Source organism: Homo sapiens, chromosome 12, assembly GCF_000001405.40.
Source record: "Homo sapiens chromosome 12, GRCh38.p14 Primary Assembly".
Taxonomy (NCBI): Eukaryota; Metazoa; Chordata; class Mammalia; order Primates; family Hominidae; genus Homo; species Homo sapiens.
The window spans coordinates 123,926,999-123,945,104 of NC_000012.12; the positions used below are offsets into that span (position 1 = coordinate 123,926,999).

General features: G+C 52.3%; 2 protein-coding genes and 1 long non-coding RNA gene across 28 annotated transcripts in view, besides 2 other annotated features; 1 reads left to right on the forward strand and 2 right to left on the reverse strand.

The window, feature by feature from the left end:
* DNAH10 (dynein axonemal heavy chain 10) overlaps positions 1 to 8,722 on the forward strand; it is a 173,420-nt gene extending 164,698 nt beyond the window's left edge. For 10 of the 11 annotated variants that reach the window (NM_001372106.1, XM_017018960.2, XM_011538016.3 and 7 more), the window contains 10 exons: positions 1,389 to 1,589; positions 2,277 to 2,486; positions 2,666 to 2,761; positions 3,404 to 3,575; positions 4,343 to 4,474; positions 4,638 to 4,849; positions 4,943 to 5,110; positions 6,333 to 6,513; positions 7,623 to 7,768; positions 8,337 to 8,716. In NM_001372106.1, coding sequence (NP_001359035.1) covers positions 1,389 to 1,589; positions 2,277 to 2,486; positions 2,666 to 2,761; positions 3,404 to 3,575; positions 4,343 to 4,474; positions 4,638 to 4,849; positions 4,943 to 5,110; positions 6,333 to 6,513; positions 7,623 to 7,768; positions 8,337 to 8,483 — 1,665 coding nt within the window. In that variant the 3' untranslated portion in view covers positions 8,484 to 8,716. Of the gene's footprint in view, positions 1 to 1,388; positions 1,590 to 2,276; positions 2,487 to 2,665; positions 2,762 to 3,403; positions 3,576 to 4,342; positions 4,475 to 4,637; positions 4,850 to 4,942; positions 5,111 to 6,332; positions 6,514 to 7,622; positions 7,769 to 8,336 lie in introns of all 11 variants that reach the window. The other variant, NM_207437.3, reaches the window with a different exon arrangement.
* DNAH10OS (dynein axonemal heavy chain 10 opposite strand) lies at positions 57 to 7,986 on the reverse strand. Its single transcript, NR_187476.1, has 2 exons — positions 7,067 to 7,986; positions 57 to 3,545 (listed from the first exon to the last, which is right to left on the reverse strand). It is a non-coding gene; the product is annotated as a dynein axonemal heavy chain 10 opposite strand (long non-coding RNA).
* The window catches only part of CCDC92 (coiled-coil domain containing 92), a 37,206-nt gene continuing 27,727 nt past the window's right edge, over positions 8,628 to 18,106 (reverse strand). For 7 of the 16 annotated variants that reach the window (NM_025140.3, NM_001304958.2, XM_024449193.2 and 4 more), the window contains 4 exons: positions 17,274 to 17,366; positions 16,349 to 16,495; positions 15,746 to 15,787; positions 8,628 to 10,832 (listed from right to left, as the gene is read on the reverse strand). In NM_025140.3, the coding sequence (NP_079416.1) occupies positions 10,060 to 10,832; positions 15,746 to 15,787; positions 16,349 to 16,495; positions 17,274 to 17,307 (996 nt within the window). In that variant the 5' untranslated portion in view covers positions 17,308 to 17,366 and the 3' untranslated portion in view covers positions 8,628 to 10,059. Of the gene's footprint in view, positions 10,833 to 15,745; positions 15,788 to 16,348; positions 16,496 to 17,273; positions 17,367 to 17,670; positions 17,743 to 18,106 lie in introns of all 16 variants that reach the window. The other 9 variants (XM_024449197.2, XM_024449194.2, XM_024449196.2 and 6 more) reach the window with 4 other exon arrangements.
* Positions 11,051 to 11,551: an enhancer, noted in NCBI's record as "H3K4me1 hESC enhancer chr12:124422596-124423096 (GRCh37/hg19 assembly coordinates)". NCBI's record gives its function as "activates a minimal SCP1, AML or CMV promoter by ChIP-STARR-seq in naive H9 embryonic stem cells {active_cell/tissue: H9 hESC(naive)}" and the evidence as "EXISTENCE:reporter gene assay evidence [ECO:0000049][PMID:30033119]".
* Positions 11,552 to 12,052: an enhancer, noted in NCBI's record as "H3K4me1 hESC enhancer chr12:124423097-124423597 (GRCh37/hg19 assembly coordinates)". NCBI's record gives its function as "activates a minimal SCP1, AML or CMV promoter by ChIP-STARR-seq in naive H9 embryonic stem cells {active_cell/tissue: H9 hESC(naive)}" and the evidence as "EXISTENCE:reporter gene assay evidence [ECO:0000049][PMID:30033119]".

Genomic DNA, 18,106 nt, shown 5'->3' on the forward strand with positions numbered 1-18,106 from the left:
ACCTCATGTTGTGATCATGGTGCTGTGCTGTTTTCTTTTTTTTTCCTTTTTCTTTTCTTTTTGAGACAGGGTCTCACTCTGTCACCCAGGCTGGAGTGCAGTGGTGCGAACATAGCTCACTGCAGCCTCGACCTCCTGATTGTGAAGTGATCGTCCTGCCTCAGCCTCCCCAGTAGCAGCTGAGACTACAGGCATGCGTCACCATGCCTGGCTAATTTTTTTGGTATTTTCTGTAGAGAAAAATACAAACACGTCACCATGTTGCCCTGGCTGGTCTTGAACTCCTGGGCTCAAGCGATCCTTCCACTTCGGCCTCCCAAAGTGTTGGGATCACAGGCATGAGACACGATGCTCAGGCTGTGCTGTTTTCAAAGCCCTTTCACACACAGTCCTTACCTTCCTTAGTCCCTGAACAGCCTCATTGTGGATCAGGATTATTATGGCCCCAATTGCATGGCCAAGGGAGTGGGTGGAGAGAGGCTGAGCCCAGGACCATTCAGGACAGAACTGTGGTGCAAATCCTCCTACCTTTCTGAGCCAGTGAGCTTTCTTTGCTGAGGTCTTGCCTCTCTGCATCACAGTGCTCCCTGCTAGAACTTGCTACACAAGTTCAGTACAATGTGGGACAAAGCTTGCAGGAAAAGTCTGTGCGTCAGTAAGTGTGATGGTTGCAGGCATGCGTGTTGGGGTCAGAGGGAGCTGACTGCCAGTCCTGGCTTTGCTATGAACTGTGAGGCTTTGGGTAAGCCCCTCTACTGCTGAAAGCCCCTGGGTGAGATGAGGATGGCAATACCCATGCTGGATGGCCCAGGAGGCAAGCCCTGGGCACCAGCAAGGCGGGCCAGCTCTCTCAACCACAACACTGAAATAAGCTATTGTAACGCCAGCACTCATGTGTTTTAAGCCATTTCAGAAAGCAAGGCTTGATTTGGGTGTTTAGCTTGTTTGTGCTTTGAATTACATTTGGGAGGGGACATGGTGATTGTTTTCCAGGCCTAGGGCCCTGAAGATCTTACAGTGGCCAGGACAGTCCCGACTTCCTGGTGGGCTTTAGCTGGTCTCTTGCAGCCCTGCTCAGGAGTCCTCAGGGGACAGGAGCGACTGTGTGGGAGGAGCTGGGACTTCCAGGGCCAGGGAGGCAGATGAGTGCAAAATGCTCACCCATCTTCCAGGCTGGGTGTGACCAGCTCAGTGCACCCACGGGGCCCATGGGGTTTCTCAAAGATGGTTTATTTGAAGGCTCCACCTGTAGCTCCTGGATCCTCGGCTTGCTTTTGGCTTCTGCTGGAGCTGCCATCGCCCTTCTGTGGGTGTGGAGTGGGTCTCTGGAGAGCACGGGGTTGGGTTTGGATGCCAACCCCTCTCCTCTTCCCTCTCCCCCGGCGCAGGTGGCCCTGCAGCTGCTGGAGACGGCGGTGGCTCGGGGGCAGTGGCTGATGCTGCAGAACTGCCACCTCCTGGTCAAGTGGCTGAAAGATCTGGAGAAGTCCCTGGAGAGGATCACCAAGCCCCACCCAGACTTCCGCCTGTGGCTCACCACGGACCCCACCAAGGGCTTCCCCATTGGGATTCTGCAGAAGTCCCTAAAGGTCTGGCTTCAGGATGGACATCAACATGCCAGCACGCAGCTTCTCAGAACACCTGCATGCTGCTCTGGGGCCGGGGTGTGCCTTTGTCTGTGTAGAAATAAACCTTAGGCTGCAGGTGAAACCTTGCGGTTGAAACCCTTCTCAATCCCACCTCTCTCTTTAGAGGGAGCCGCTGTCCTGGGTTGGGTGTTTGTGACTCCCAGGCCTATCTCTACCAATTCTGCATGTGTCCCTAACAATATCTACGCTACTTTTCATAAACTTCACGGCCCCCCCCCCCACACACAGCCTGCAGTTCGCTAGTGCTGACTGCAGGAGTTTCGCGTGGTTTACATGCCCCATTTAATTTATTCTCCGGGAAATTCTTTTGGAAAGGTTTTGTCATTCTCTGTCTCTCTCTCTCTCTCTGGGGAGGTGGAGGGAAGACTTTACTTTCATTTTATATATAGTAAAGGATCTCATGGTTCAGAGGAAGGTCAAAGACTCTTGACCCTTGACCCTGAGAGCCAGAACATCTAGTCCTTTAACTTCTCAGCCTGGGCCCTGGACAAGAGACTTTAGCTATTGGAGGTCTCAGACAGATGGCTCCGTAGAGAGGAAGGAAAGCGCAGTGCCTGCATTGTGCACACTCTTCCAAGCTTGTGGGCCTGCGGTCTCCATCACTGTGTGTTTTCTTCTCTTCTGAAGGTTGTCACCGAGCCACCCAATGGGCTGAAACTCAACATGAGGGCAACTTACTTCAAGATCTCTCACGAAATGCTGGACCAGTGCCCGCACCCTGCCTTCAAGCCGCTGGTCTACGTGCTGGCGTTCTTTCATGCTGTGGTGCAGGAGAGAAGGAAGTTTGGGAAGATTGGCTGGAACGTGTACTATGACTTCAATGAGTCTGACTTCCAGGTGACAGTGGCTGCTTCTCCTTGGAAATGGCTTCCTTAGGCGGCCCACTTCCTCCCGACTTTCCTCCGGGTTCAACCACAGCAGGGTTGCACCGTTCCCAGCAGCCTTTTCAGAAAAGTATCAGAATGTGAACAGCTTGGTGGGTTTCAGTATAACTGAGCGTGTTCTCTTCTTTCAAGGTCTGCATGGAAATTCTGAACACGTACTTAACGAAAGCCTTCCAGCAACGGGACCCAAGGATCCCGTGGGGCAGCCTCAAGTACCTAATTGGAGAGGTAGGGGTGACCGGGGATCCTTCCGCAGGTGCCTCTGGGGCTACAGAGCTGTGGCCTCGTGCCCCTATTTTCCTCTGAGCCCTCAGAACCAGCCTCTTCTGCCCCTGTGTTCCCCTTGGGTTTCTGTGACAATTCTCTCTGCTCTCACCTGGTTGTTCTTTGTCCTAAGTGAGCTCTGTTCACATGGAGGTTCCCTGAGCTGGATCCATGGCTGGGGATCCAGGCAAGGCATCCTCTAGCCCCTTGCCTCAGCTGTTGCTGTATACAGAGCTCACAGGAAGCATCCCCGGTGGTCTGCACACGGCTCAGGCAGTGACATCAATTCCAAAGACAGAAGCAGCTGCTGGCTTCTTCAGCTGTTTGTTTGATGTGTTTGGGGGACTTTGCCTGCTGCACAGGAGCTCCCAACACTTCCTGAGGGCTTCTTACTGCTTTGGGCCCTATCCCTTGGGAAGCCAGCAAAGCCACAGATCAATTGTGTGAACAGTGGCCCGAAAGGTTATGCAAGTCAACAGGTTCAAGCCTTGCAGCAGCCAGGCTGCTGGAGTCTCTTGACCCTGGGTGAGCCTCTGGCCCCGGGCCCCCAGGGTGCACACAGTAGGTTCTGAGCTCCTGGCTGGCTCTCAGGCCCTCTAATTTCAGGTCATGTATGGAGGACGGGCCATCGACAGCTTTGATCGCCGCATCCTGACCATCTACATGGATGAGTACCTGGGGGACTTCATTTTTGATACTTTCCAGCCATTCCACTTCTTCCGGAACAAGGAAGTGGACTACAAAATCCCTGTTGGTGATGAAAAGGAGAAATTTGTTGGTGAGATTTCTCAGACATGAAAAGATGTTTTCAAGGCTTTTTCTAAGGGAGACCATACATTTCAACCGGCTCCTCTCCTGGTGGGGGCTCCTCGGCTGGTCAGGTGTGGTCTGTTAAGCCTGTTAGGTGGCTCGGCAGACGCTTCCTGGCTGCAGAGCTGACTGATAGAGTTCAGATTTCCCATCCTGGAATGATGGTAAATAAATCAGGTTCCACCTGGAAGGGCAGAATGGCCACAGTGAAGCTCACTGAGCCATTTTCGTAAAAGATGAACATACGGCTGGACTGGGTGTGGTAGTGTAGAATTTTTACATTAAAAACATGTCATTGGCTGGTCATGGTGGCTCGCACCTGTAATCCCTTCTTTGGAAGGCCAAGAAGGGCAGATCGCTTGAGCCCAGAAGTTCAAGACCAGCCTGGGCAACCAAGCAAGATCCCATCTCTACAAAAAATAAACAAAAAATCAAAACAAAAAAACAAAAAACAAAAATATTAGCTGAGTGTGGTGGTGAATACCTGTAGTACCAGCTACTTGGGAGGCTGAGATGGGAGAAGAGCTTGAGCCCAGGAGGTCGAGGCTGTAGTGATCAATGACCATGTCAGTGCACTTCAGCCTGGGTGACTAAGACCCTGTCTCAAAAAAAAAAAAAGTCACCCTCTAAACAGTGGAAATTAGTCTTGCATGTCTTGGAGACTTTGAGGCTGTGGGCCCTGAGAAAGCACAGGTGGCTGGACAGTGCCACCTCCGTTGTTCTCTGTGATTGCAGAAGCCATCGAGGCCCTCCCGCTTGCCAACACGCCAGAAGTGTTTGGTCTCCACCCCAACGCTGAGATTGGCTATTACACGCAGGCGGCTCGAGACATGTGGGCTCACCTGCTGGAGCTGCAGCCTCAGACAGGTAAACTCTACTCAGGAGGACTTCATTAGTTTGATTGGGGTTTTACGATTGCTTCTTGTAGCCCTCCCACGTTGCTGATGCCTTTCCCAGAACTGGAAGGCTCAGGAGGCTCCGGTTCTGCACGTGGATGCCTTGCTTTCTCTGAAAAGTGTCCTGGTTTTAGGGGAATCCAGCAGTGGTATCAGCCGCGATGATTATATTGGCCAAGTGGCCAAAGAAATAGAAAACAAGATGCCCAAAGTCTTTGACTTGGACCAGGTGAGGAAGCGCCTCGGAACAGGACTCTCCCCCACTTCGGTGGTGCTCCTGCAGGAACTGGAACGCTTCAACAAGCTTGTGGTCCGGATGACGAAGTCTCTGGCTGAACTTCAAAGGGTGAGCCTGTCTCTCATGTGCAGATTACTGCCTAGATACGTGGCACCTGGGGTTCTGATAGAGTCCTGCCCGATTGCTCTTGATTCTAAATAGGCCTTGGCTGGAGAAGTTGGAATGAGCAATGAGTTAGATGATGTGGCCAGGTCTCTTTTTATCGGGCATATCCCTAATATCTGGAGAAGGCTTGCTCCTGACACCTTAAAGTCCCTTGGAAACTGGATGGTCTACTTCCTGCGGCGGTTCAGCCAGTACATGTTGTGGGTAAGTGGCACGTCACCGCCTCCTCTCTGCCGATTCAGGTGTCAGCCTAGACTCCTCAAACCACCTCCCAATCCCCTCTTTCCATTGCCCAGCAGTAACCTCTGTTAAAGTTTATTGGGTGCTCTGGAAATGGTCTGAGATTCTTACAAGCCTATCTGTATCTTTTGTTTTTCCTTTTCTTTTGAAGACTTTGAAGCATACTCTTACATACCCGATTATTTTATCTAAGTGTATATCTTGGCACTTGTTCCATATTAGTACACAGCTAGCTCGTTCTTTTTTAGAGTATGCCATTGTACAAATGTTTCATATCCTTTCTCCTCCTTCTGTATCCTAAAAATATGGTAACTGCCTACATTTCGGTGGTTACCATTTTTTTTTTTTTTTTGCTAATACAAATAACATTCTGGTGCACATGTATATGAATATGCATAGGGGTATATTCCATGGGTAAATTCTGACAGTGGAAGAGTTGGATCAAAGAGCTTGTGCATTTTAAATTTTGATAGCTCTTGTTGGATGGTTCTTAGAAAGGCTGAAACCACAGTCTATGAGAGTGCTTCTTTCCTCACTCCGCTGCAATGCTGCGTTCTTAACATTTTGGATCACTGTCTCCCTGATAGGTGAAAATAATATCTCATTGTTTTGCATGTCTTTAATTATGGTGAGTCTGAGCGTATTTTGCATGCTTTACAGACATTTTGTGTTTGTTTTTCTGTGAATTGTCCTTTTGTATCTGGATTTCATTTTTAGTGAGGTCTCCATCTTTCTCATTGATGTTTAAGAGCTCTTTGCAAATCAAAGAAATTAGCCCTTGGTCTGCCAGTGTTGCAGGTATTTCTCCAAGCTTGTCATAAGTCTTGACTTTGCTTACGGTATTTTTTCCACAGAAAAGCTTTACATTTTTCCGTAGTCAAACCTACAAGGCTTTTCTTTTTTATCCTGGGCTTTGTATTTCCTACTCCACGATATGAAAGCATTCATTGGAGATGTGGCCCAGTACTTTTGTGGTTTTATTTATTTTTATATCTAAATCTTTGATCTACCTGGAATGTGGCAGTCCAGATTGTTTTTCTCAGACAGGCGGCCAGTTGTGCCAACGCCATCTTTTGCCACTTAGGTGAAATATGTCTTTTATCATAAACTAAACTTCCAGGCCAGCTTTGACCTGGCATTGGATGGCAGCCCCAGGCTCCCAGCACTTGTCCTCTCTTCTCTCCAGGTGACCGAGAGCGAGCCCAGCGTGATGTGGCTCTCGGGGCTGCACATCCCTGAGTCCTACCTCACGGCGCTGGTGCAGGCCACCTGCCGGAAGAACGGCTGGCCACTGGACCGCTCCACCTTGTTCACACAAGTGACCAAGTTCCAGGATGCAGATGAAGTGAATGAGCGGGCGGGACAAGGTACCGTCAGCTCGTTAGGGATCCACAGCCTCTCACTTAGGATTTCTCTCCCTGAACCACCTCCAACTCAAAGGGACAGGCATAGCGTGGGCCTAAATGGGCCAGGCCATGTTTGAAAGCCAGCCTGCTGCAAATATTTCCTGTGTCTCTGCACTGCCCATGTCTTAACACCTCTGAGGGTGGATACGGAAGTTTCTCTTCCACTTTCTCCGTTGAGACCTGGGGTCTATGGCAGGGGAGACCTGAACCATGTTCACTCTGCTAGCTCATGGCAAGTGGGCTCCTAGGTCAGAATTAGCTCTTGCAAAAACCATCAGGTGGCTTTCTTGTAACCCCTGACGGGGCCAGGGGCATGGGAGCCACAGAGCAGCATGGACTAACTTGGTTGGAACTCTTTGATTATGCCAGAACTTCAGGTCCCTTAGACATTGGTTACTGACTGTGCAAATGAGAGCTGGAAACTGCTGTTTCCCCGGGTCCATGTTGTCTTAGAGTTCTTTTAACTGCAAGGAACAAAAGCTCTTTTGAGATGGCTTAAGGACTGGGGACTTACGGTAAAGATGCAGGGACTCTCCAGGTCTCAGTGGCAGGGGAGGTGGCAGGTGTCCGGGCCACCACTCTCTCTGGGGCCACAGGAGTGTGTTCCTCTCTTTGCACATCTGCTGGGTCCTCCTCCCCGGAGACCACTTTCTCTGTGAGGCTTCGACTTCCTGCTCCCCAGCCACTTCGGCTCACAGGGTAGCTGGGGTTGCCATGGTGCCCATTCTGACTCTGGGACCATGCATCTTTCTAGCCTGGGGGCCCAGGGTGGTCTAAGTCCGTGGGCCTTGATGCCCCAGGAATGAGGATTCCTGGGGGAGAGGCCACCGCCCCACACCCATTTCTCTGGGCCATGGGGCAGGGCCACAGGGTCTCCTGTCTGGGCTGCTCCTCCACAGAGGGAAGGTGGGCAGGACAGAAATGCTGGAGAAGGGCCTGGGCTGTCCCCAATGCGCTGGGGAGGAGGCCAGCCAGTGGCCTGTGTGTCGCTGTGTGTGCGCCTGATAGAGCCACTCCGTGGCAGGCTGTGCATGCTCCAGTTGTATCCAGTCTCTGCCTTGTGTCCCTAGGATGCTTTGTCTCAGGACTGTACCTGGAAGGTGCTGACTGGGATATAGAAAAAGGATGTCTTATCAAGAGCAAACCCAAGGTGCTGGTTGTGGACCTGCCGATCCTGAAGATCATCCCCATTGAAGCCCATCGCCTCAAGCTGCAGGTGAAGGTCCCAGCCCCTCCTCTCTGACACCAGGGCCCTTCCTCTTCTGACTGTAGTTATGGCTGAGGTGGTTTCCAACAGTCCTACTTTTTAAAACAGGGGTGCCTAAGCTTTATGGGCTGGGGAGAGTCTTGGAGCCGTGATAAAAGCTACGGATAGCTGCTTCCTGGAAAAGGCGCGGCTGTATGTGTGTGTGGATGCCGGTCCTTCCAGAGGTGTCAGGCTCAAGCTGTGATCCTGTGGTCTAGACTAACCAAGGGGAGACTCCCTCCCTTCTTGCAAAATGCTGCAGACATTGCCTGAGTCATAAAGTGGTTCCCGCTGGTGTGGACAGCAGATGTCTTCTGCTCTGCCTGGGCCAGGACCCACTTTTAACCAGGGTGTCAGTGTGAAGCCAGGTCCCCGTGAAGCTGGCGGAGGGTGGCCCTGAGCAGCCCCAGCCTTGTGCGTGTTCTCAGGTGCAGTCTTGCACAGGGGCCCCTGCCTGTCAAGACTTACACTGCACCTCTGCCTTTATCCCTCTGCACCCTCTCTCCGTGGGGGCATCTCACCTGCCTTTCCCTTGCAGAATACTTTCCGGACCCCCGTCTACACCACCTCCATGAGAAGGAACGCCATGGGAGTCGGCTTGGTTTTTGAAGCTGATCTCTTTACCACGAGGCACATTTCTCACTGGGTGCTGCAAGGAGTATGCCTCACCCTGAATTCTGATTAACCTTTGGGTGAAGAAAACTGCTTAATGAATTCGGAGCCTGGGGTTGTCAGAGTGATCGGGTCTGCTGTCATTTCTTGGGGCCTCTCAAGAGGCAGGAGGGGGACTGACACTGATTTTTCATTTGAAATCAGCCACTTAAATCTCTTTCCATACAAATTAACCTGAATGGTTTTGTTTTTAATACTACTTTTTAAAAGGAATTTATATAATCAAAAAGTAAATATTGGAGAGTATTTTAAGATGTGTGGAGTTTTCTTTTCCTTCTCAGAGAAAACACTTGATTAGGCAAAAGTGCCTGGCATACATAGCATTGGCACAAGTGAGAATCCTAATGTAATTTCCAAAGGTGTGTTTTCGATGATCCAGGTCTGTTTCAGCAGATGCTCCTTTTTGGCAAGAAGGGCTGATGATGTCGGGCACAGAGCAGAAGTGACCAGTCACCTGGAGCCACTTCTCCCCCTTCCAGAACTCTCTGGCCCTAGCTTCTTTGGCTCTGACCTGCTACGGCGACTGTGAAGTTGTTGAGCTTAGTGTTTAGTTCCTGCATGAGCTTCTACCCCCAGCCTGCCTGGGTCTGTGTGGGGTCAGGTAAGGACACAGAACCTCCAGGACCAGTGGTCACTGGGCACCCCTTCCCTCTGTGCACCATGAGGCTGGCCTGGAGCCCTGGCTGGCCACCTGGAGGTGAGGGGTGGCTTCACTCCATGAGGGAGGAGAGGGGCTAGCACGGGCAGCACAGTGGGCAGGGGCCATCAGAGGCAAAAGCAGCTTCCCACAGAAGCTCAGGAGCGCAGCACATTCTAAGGACTAGCTCTGGGCCGGGAGGAGGCCGGAGTCGCTTCTGGGACCTGTGATTGCTCTCCCTCCTGCAGTCTCCTAGCCCTCCTTCAGGTGTTTGTTTAATAAAAGACACAAAACAGAAGGAAGGCAGGTTTAGAAAATAAAGTTTGTTGGGATCTTAAACATTTTGGATAAAACTAACAAAAAAATATGAACACACATTCAGGTTGTGGTGCTATGAGGAGTAGCGTCATCTTATTTAGTTCCTTGAGATACACGCACGGCTGCTCGGTGATCGGTGCCGCCCTGGGAAAGGTTGGTCAGGAGGTGACAGGGGTCTCCAGGAGGAGCTCGGGAGGTGACAAGGGTCTCCAGGAGGGAGCAGGGGCTGCTCGGCCAGGCTGCCCTGGAGCTTGAGGATAAGGTCAAGGTTGGTATGTGTTGCTCCGACTTGAGAATGAATTAGGTGTGTGACTGTGTGGCATCGTGAACATCAGTAGTGACGCAGCCGTGGCCTGGGCTTTGCCTGCAGCGCACTTAGGTTACACGGAGCGGGATCAGAAGCAAGCGATTCGGCACACAGGCGTTTGGCCACAGCAATTAGGAAATACATATTCTGCGGCAGGGACACGATCATATTTTGGTGTGAAGAAGAGGGCAAGAGAAGCAGAAGGAGAATGGGTCGGTAGGTGTGAAAAGTGTTTGGCATGCATGGGATTAAACAGAAAAGGTGTGGCTGAGATTTCCCAGTGGTGCTCACAGTGCATGGACAGCGCGGGGTGGGGCACGGCGGGCTTCACACAGTTCTGTCCGTCCCTGAGTGCTTCCTCACCACCTTGCCTCCGTTCACCTGGTCGACCGCCAGGGTCTTCACCTCGGGCTGGGCCTGCGGCGGGGTGGCGTGGTGGATCCGATGTGCCACCCCGACGTGGGCCTTGTGCGGCTTTTCGCGGGCCGGGCTGTGCTGCTCGCCGCTTCGGTCGGAGGCGATGGGGGGGATGACGAGGGGCCTCTCTTTGATGAGGTGGACCTCGGCGGACTCCCTAGCCAGCAGAAATGGGGTGGGGTCGGGCATAGCATCCACTGGTTCCCGCAAAAGGAGTTTCCTGCTCTCTGCCCCGAATCTGTAGACCTCTTCAAATTCCGGGTGCAAGGGGGCTGAGAGGCTCTTTTTCATGCGGCGGCGAGGCGTTTCGGGTAGCTTGTCTTTGGGGGGCGCTGGCTTGTAGCTGGCCAGCACGGGGCTCCCTGACGGGCTGGCATCTGAGGTCCCGCTGGAGCTCATGAGCTTCTTCTTGGCGGCGTGCAGCTGGGAGGTCAGGTAGGCGATGGTGCTGGCCCGCTGCTCCAGCTCGCTAGACAGCAGGGTCAGCTTGTGACTCTTGGCCTTCAGCTCCTCCAGGTACTTCTTCTCTCGCTCCTTGATGGTGTTCTCCAGCACTGTGATCATCGCGTTTTTCTGCTCCAGTTCTTTCAACAACTCAGCATTTTCGTTCTCTTTCACTTTCAGTTGGGCTTCCAGCTCTTCACATCTTTTCTTTAATTCACTGCTTTTAGAAGTCCCGTCTCCTACAAGAATAAGCCGAGGAAGCAGGTGAAGAACTCATTAGACTGAGGCCGAGTGGTGAGGCCTATGGGGCAGGCGGACCTGTCTGGTGGGGGCCCTGTCTAGGCTGTGGGGGCCATGCAGAAGGCAGGGCTGTGGGGGCTCTGGAAAGACCCCTCCCCTCCCCGAGGTGGGGAGATCGGGGCATCTCAGAGGCCCTTTCCGGCTCTTAGTTCTCTGGCCTACTGCATAAAAGAATGTCTCTGAACCTTAAAGATGCTGAACTTAAAACAGGCAATTGCAGAGTATCAGACCTCAGCAAACACTTAGGATTCAACTGGCCGCAAATCCCTCTGTCTGCTCAGATGGCATTTATGGAATGCCTGCTACATTCAAAGTACTGTTTTGAAACTCAAATGTAAAAAGAATTATCCATGTCTATTGAATTAAAATTCTGATGTTTAGAGGAGAAGAGGTGTGGGGCTGTCACCTTTGCTCTGCCGCTGGCCGCCTCTCTCACCCCCCTACCCCCGTCTCTCTCACACACACACACACACAGACTCTTTCCCACTTCCTGCTCAGAGAGTGAGCTGTCTCGCCTCTGTGGCTCTTACCCTTGGTCCCTCCCTGCCCCTGCCCTAACACTTCGGGCCTCTGCCTCCTTTTGCTGTCCCTGGGTGCCTGCCCTCACCCAGTCCTTCAGCAAACACCAGCCACCTCCTTCTCCTGCTCTTCTGGTGACCTGCAGTCCCTGGTCACCTCACATAGCACCCTTGGCTCTAAACCCTGGGTCACCATCCTACTCCTCCTAACGCTGGCTGGCTGGCCATCCTCCTTGCCTGGCCCCTGGGAAGTTCTTTCTAGACTCTTCCTTGCTGGTCTGGAATTCAACTTGAGCATCAGCTCCCGATTCAGTGTCTCCTGAGCACCACTTCTCCAAGTGAGTGTCCGTCAGACACACCCTCAAGTCCAGATAGCTGCTCTGCTTCCCACATCTTGACTCTCCCAGGGAAACTGGATGCAGTCGCCATCCCTGGCCTCCCCTCCCTGACTGTGCCTTTCTGCTGGCTGCTCAGTGCTGCCCCCTCCCTGCTCCTCCAGCCGGCCTTGGTCCCACCTCCTCTCTGGTCTTCGTTTCAGCCCATCCTGTATTTAGGAAGCTTGGTCACCCCCTAAATATTCTTGTCCTCTGTTCAAAATGGTTCCTCACTGCCTAATAAAACCCAAACTGCCAGATGCCTTCCAGTTCCTCAATCTGTCCTGAATGTTATCTGCTCCCACATAAATCAAAGCTTCCATCACTCTCCCCAAGCCACCACCTCTTGTTCTGTCTCTATTGTACCCTCTGTCCTTGCCCTAACTCCAGACCTGCACGCCCAGTTTCCCTGTACCAACTCCACCACCCAGGGCCTGCCTAGGCACTGGACGCCACTGGACGTCTTTCCCGGGCTTCTGTCTGTCTTGCTTTGAATTTTCCCACCTGCCTGAGCTAGCAGCAGCTCTGCAGCATGTCCCGCCGCCAGACTCTGAGCTTTTGAGGGCCCACAGCTGACTGGACTGGTCTTGTGCAGGACACTTGCATGTTACAAGCTCGCTGCAGGTGATGGGCGCTCCTCGACTTAGCATGGGGTCATGTCCCGAAAAATCCAATGTAAGTTGAAAATACCGTAAGTCAAAAGTGTGTTTTCGATATTTTCAGCTTACCATGGGTTTATCTGGACATATCCATGGTAAGTCGAGGAGTGTACTGAATGGGTATTGCCCCATGCAGTTGAAAAATTTTAAGTTGAACCATTGCAAGTTTCTAGTTTTAAAAACCATGTGTCTGTGTGTGTATGTGCAGGTATAATGTCAGCAAATGACCTCCCTAAAAAGGATGCATGCAGTACTACCTTTCATGAGGTTTCTTCTTTTGCCAAAAGGAAAATAGATCCTAAAACACAGTTTCAGAGGTAGAGAGAGGGACAGAGACACACACACGACTCTGTAGACACTGTAAGACCCAGGAGCCCAGCCACCTGGGCTGAACCCCTGCAACCTGAAATGCTGACCTGGGCACGGCATTGGGCCTGGTACCCGCTGTCCTTCCCCCAGGGCCTGTGGGACAACAACCCATGCCTGTCGCAGGGCCTTTGCTTTCAGCCCACACTCGGGTGGACAGTGGGCCTTGGGCTCCTTCCGAGGAAGGGCTGCAACCTCAGACCTTCAACCACATCCCTGGCCTGCTGTGAGCATCCTGGGATTTTTCTTCCCCCAGGCAGTGCTGCAAAAGGCTGATGGACGTTTGGAACATTCAGGAACAAGGCTGTCCCTGGGCTTTGCTCATGTCCTGTGAGGGGCAGCCCACAAAGGCAGAGGGCCCTGGTGGTCGGACTGGGGACTTGGATTTGTGGGGCACCTGTCAGATGAAGATGCAGGTTCAGAGATGTCAAAGAACCTGCCCAAGGCCACACAGCCCCTCCGAGTCAGAGCAGAGGCCCAAATCTGGGGCTCATTAAGCATCACTCTGGTTCTTTTCGCCACAGCATCCTGAGAGAAGCTCCTCCTGGATAGACATCCTCCTCATCATCCTTCCTTGAGAGTCATCTAGCTGTGCTGCCTCCTCCTCCAGGGTGCAGCCTTGGCTCCGGGCTGATGTTTACCGGCCCCGACTTGAGTGGGCCGTCCTGTGGGAAGGAGCTGGTACGACTGCTCCTCCATCCCCAGCTCTGGAGAGCTGCTTCAGTGACTGTCCTTCCCAGGAATCAGCACCTCCTGTTTTGCCAATTTCTTGCTCTTTATAGAAAGCTCCACTCCACCTCCTCCTCTGTACGTACCCCCTTTCTGGAAATTTCAGTCTTCCCATGAAAGCTTGGTGCACACTGAGCTGACAGCAGCCAACTGCTGCTGGTCTCCAAACGCTGCACTGCTGAGCCTGCCCGAGCGTCAGGGCACTGCAACGCTTCTAAACCTGCGCACTCCCTGGGCCCGCCCAGACTTCTGGGGTCACAGCCCCCAGGGGAGGGAAGCCAAGAGTCTATGCTGTACCCTGGGTCCCGAAACTGCTTGGAATTGGGCAGTTTTGGGTGCACTAATGTAAAACAATGATTTTCACCACTGGGAGGGGAGACGCCCCGACTGGAACCACCTGAGAGGCTTTTGAAACTGCCTCCCCTAAGACACAGCCCTTGCTGTGAGACCCTGCTGCTGCTGGGAGTACTACATCAGGTGGGTGGGTGGGTGGGCAGGTGGCCTTGGGACCTCAGGTTGAGAACCGTGACTGGAGAGGCCACAGGGCAAAACTATGCTGCTTCAGATTAGCCTGGGCCAGGAGAGGACAGGGAGCGAGGACGCCCTGGCTTCCATGACACGGGTAGCTCCTTTCCCAAGGCTTCAGTGCTGGCAGGTGTGGACGCTGGAGGTCCCTAGTGTCAGGCTGAAATCCTGTTCCTCTGCATTCCCACAGGCCCAGCTCCCAGTCCCAGGGCTTCGGGGGAGGTCCCTGGTATCCCTCCACAGGGAGACTTCTGAGGACAGGCTCCCATTCCACCACCCCAAGAAGCCCACGGCGCCTTCCCTACCACACGCAGACAAAAAGATGTCTGGGCTCCTGGGTGGCGCACTCAGGAGGCTGTAATATGAGCAATGCAAATGGAAAAAAATCAGTGCTCGGTAATCCACTAAGGCTTGGTGGAAATGGTCTGTGTCTTTTACAAGGAACTGGACACTCTCATGAATAGTAACTGCCATTGTGAGGCCTGTTTAGAAAAAGGCATTGTGGGGAATGGAGAAGTTCTTCAAAGTTTCTTGAAACCATAAAGAGCTTGTCATTTCCTTGCTCTATGTATATCTCTATATATGTTCCAGTGTAGCTGCTCCGCCTTGCCCCGGCACGCCTGCGCAGGGCTGAGCGAGCCCTGGACCATAGTGCATGCTCTTCCTTATTTGGAAACTCTCCTGACCCTCTCATGACTAGCTTCCTCTTTTCTTTGTCCTCTTTCCCTTTTGCCTATTTAGGAAAGTTTCAAGCTGTTAGCCAATCGGGTCAAGCTTAGAATGTGAGGTCCCATTCCAGTCAATGGAAACTGGACACAGTCATAGGGCAATTGCATCAGGTTATGAAGATTATAAATGTCCTCGTCTCCTTTGTTTGAGTGTGCTCTCGTGGTAAGACTGCTGGCGAGTTGCACCCTTTCTGCAGAAAGTAAACTAGCCTTGCTGAGCCATCCATTGCCTTCCCGACGTGATAAACCCGTTTCCAACAGGTGTCTCTGCACAAACATGGATTCAGCACTTTCCAAACACCCACCCTGTTTTAGGGAGCAGGCTCTTTGCAGCAGGCACAGAGGGCCCTGGGAAGGCCTGGGTTTCTGTCTCTTCTCTGGCGGCCAGCAGGCAGCTGCCCTTTGGGGTTTCCTGAGGTCCTGGAGGATTCTGGTTTGGGGAGGGTTCTGGGGCTGTAGTCCAGAGAAAGCCCCAGATCCTCAGGGAGCTGTCTAGTAATGTGACCACTCGCCCGCCAGCATTTAGCAAGCTGCTGCTCTGTGCCAGGCCCATGCTAGGCGGCAGCGACACGGAGGAGCGGGGGCGGTTCTGCCCAATGCTGCTGCTGCTGTTACTCCTCCTTTTGGGTTTAACTCACGTCTATTTTTATGTCCTGATTACACAAGGAACACATGTTCATTGTAGGAAAATCAGAAAAACATATAATAGGCATTCCAAATATATGTGTCATTCAAAAGAAAACAAAATCACTCATCCCCCTGCCCACTAATAACCACTTGCAACACGGAGGGATCCAAACATCCTTCTCATCTTCTCTTAGAGAGCTCAGGCCACACGCATAACTCTTCCCAGCAAGAGCATTTTCTCCTAAGTGTGTGACTAGTGAAAACGGCACCAACACGTACCACAAAGGGAAACCTACTGTCATTTACTTCTGGGGAGGAGTTCTTACCTGTCTGTTCCGAACTTTTGACTGTCAGCTCATATGTTAAATCTAAAAGGGAAATGTTACACATTAATTCTTTTACTGTACATTTCAAAATCTTCATCAGCTTTGAAAATGCAAAACCGATTCCCACGATTAGCCAGCGAGTCCTACCCAGACAGAGCAGGGTTTGGCAGCAGGAGAGGTGAGCATGAGAGCAGCAGAAAACATCTGCGGCCACTGTGCTCCCTGGGGTCAGAGGGCACCCTCTGTTCCCCCAAACTCCCTTCCCCATTCCCCCACAGCATATCCCAACCATCCAAACCAAACAATCCAGCAGCTGGCTCTATGTATCACACAGGCTATATCTTGGTTATCAGTTCCAAAACACATTGGAGATTCTAACCATTGTATTTTAATCTCTTAAGTCCTCAGTATGCCAAGAAAAGGCTTTGCAGCTTTATGCTTAGTGCATCTTGATTATGCAATGAGGATGATATAAGGCATTCAGATGGACTCCTGCAACGATGATGGGAGCTGGGGGCAGGGCAGGCCTAGCACATTCTGACGCTGGGCTCTGCCGTGCCCCATAGCCGCCCCCCGCCTGCCCGGGCCTGCTCCCCGATGTACCTGTGCAGTGCTGCTGCAGCCGCCTGATCTCGGAGTGCAGCCCCTTGAGCGTGCTGGCATGCTCCCGCTGAAGGAACAGGAGGTTCTTCTGTGCGCTGTGCAGCTGGTTCTCCAGGTTTGTGGCTGCCATGCTGACATCCAGAGGACCTGTGGGTAACACAGACCCTGGCTGCGGTGCCTGAAGAGGGTCCCAGGGCTGCCTGCCCTCCTTGGCTCTGGGTGCAGAGGGGTGTGCGCCTCCCAGGAGAGAGCAGAAGGAAACCACGGCTCCTGAAGGGCAGGGTGTGGGGGCACCAGGGCTACATTCCCATCACTGCAGGGAGGCCCCAGGCCAGGGACGGCAGCCTCTGCTTCCCGAACGCCTTGGGGTGTGCCCTAGCACCTAGCACGATGCCTGGCACATGAATGAGTGAGGCCCACTCCAGAGTACAAAGTCATTTCCCTTTACTCATGAGGAAACAGATCAAGAGAGGCAGATTCGCGAGCCTGGGGTCACACAGCCAGTGAGGTATGGAGCAGGGATTCTAATCCAGGGACCCTTGGTTCCAAATCCTGTCCTCTCCACGCACCACCTCACCCCAACAGACTGTGACTGACCAAATCACGCCCAAAAGATTTCCCTGACCAGGAAGCACTGACAGCTTCCTCATGGGAAAAGCTGGCACCTGGGAAATGGGCCAAACATTTCCTCTAAATGGCATCTGGAGCCAGCCAAAGTAGGAGGGAGAGATGGGCTGAATTCCAGAGGGAAGCCCCCTGCACTTCACAGCACTGAGAGGAGCCACAGATCCTTCTTGGGAAGGTCTGAGAACGTATCTCATGGGGCCAGGGGGTGGTGCAGGTGTCTGGAGTCTGTCCCCAATGCTTGGCCCCTCCCAGCCCCAGCTTCCAGCATCTGATGCTCACTCAGGGCCCCAGACTCTACCTTCATCGTAACTCGAGAAATGTGGTGAAGTCATGGGTCTTTCTGGAAAAGCTACCAGAGTAATTCAAGACGCTTGTACAGCACTGAAAAATACTGAGGATGAAATGTGAGTTATTTGCTTATAAATTATTATTGTAAATACAGAACCTCAGAATGCATTTTCCCTAATTTGCTATTCCAGAGAACCCTCCGTAAAGGAGGTACAACTTCTCAATGGCTCCCAGGACGCAGCCCATTTGTAGGATGCCACAGTGGAACCGTTTTGGAGACACTGACACACCCAGGCTGTCACTGCTTCAGACGACACCAATTGCTCATCAATTATCTGTACGACCAGTGACATGCATGCACACTAGCTCTGGAGCTAGGACGAGTTCATAACGAACTTCAGACATACACTTTCATCACACGAAAACACTTCCTGGGCGCTGCTCCGGTGGAAAGCCACAGACTCCACTCCGAGGGCAACCTGAGAACGCAGAGAAGGAAATAAAACACGACGGAGCTCACGAAGGGGAATGAACAATGATACATCCTAAAAAGGACCAAGAAAAAGAGAAACAAGAGGCCCTTTCAGTTGGGGACAAAAACTGGCAGGAGAGGGCAGTGGCCCCAGGACACGGCAAGTACAGTCTCGGGGGGCACCTCACCACGGGCAGTGATTGGGCAGAGCTGATCAGAAGCCTTGGAATTGGTCATCTCTCTGAACTAGCAATTTATTTTTAGAAATCTACCAAAGGGAAATTATTACTTTTGTGTGAAAAGAGGTAGCTGTGAGAATGGTCACTACAGTGCAGTTTGCAGTTGGAAAAGACTAGAAACAAACTCAAAAC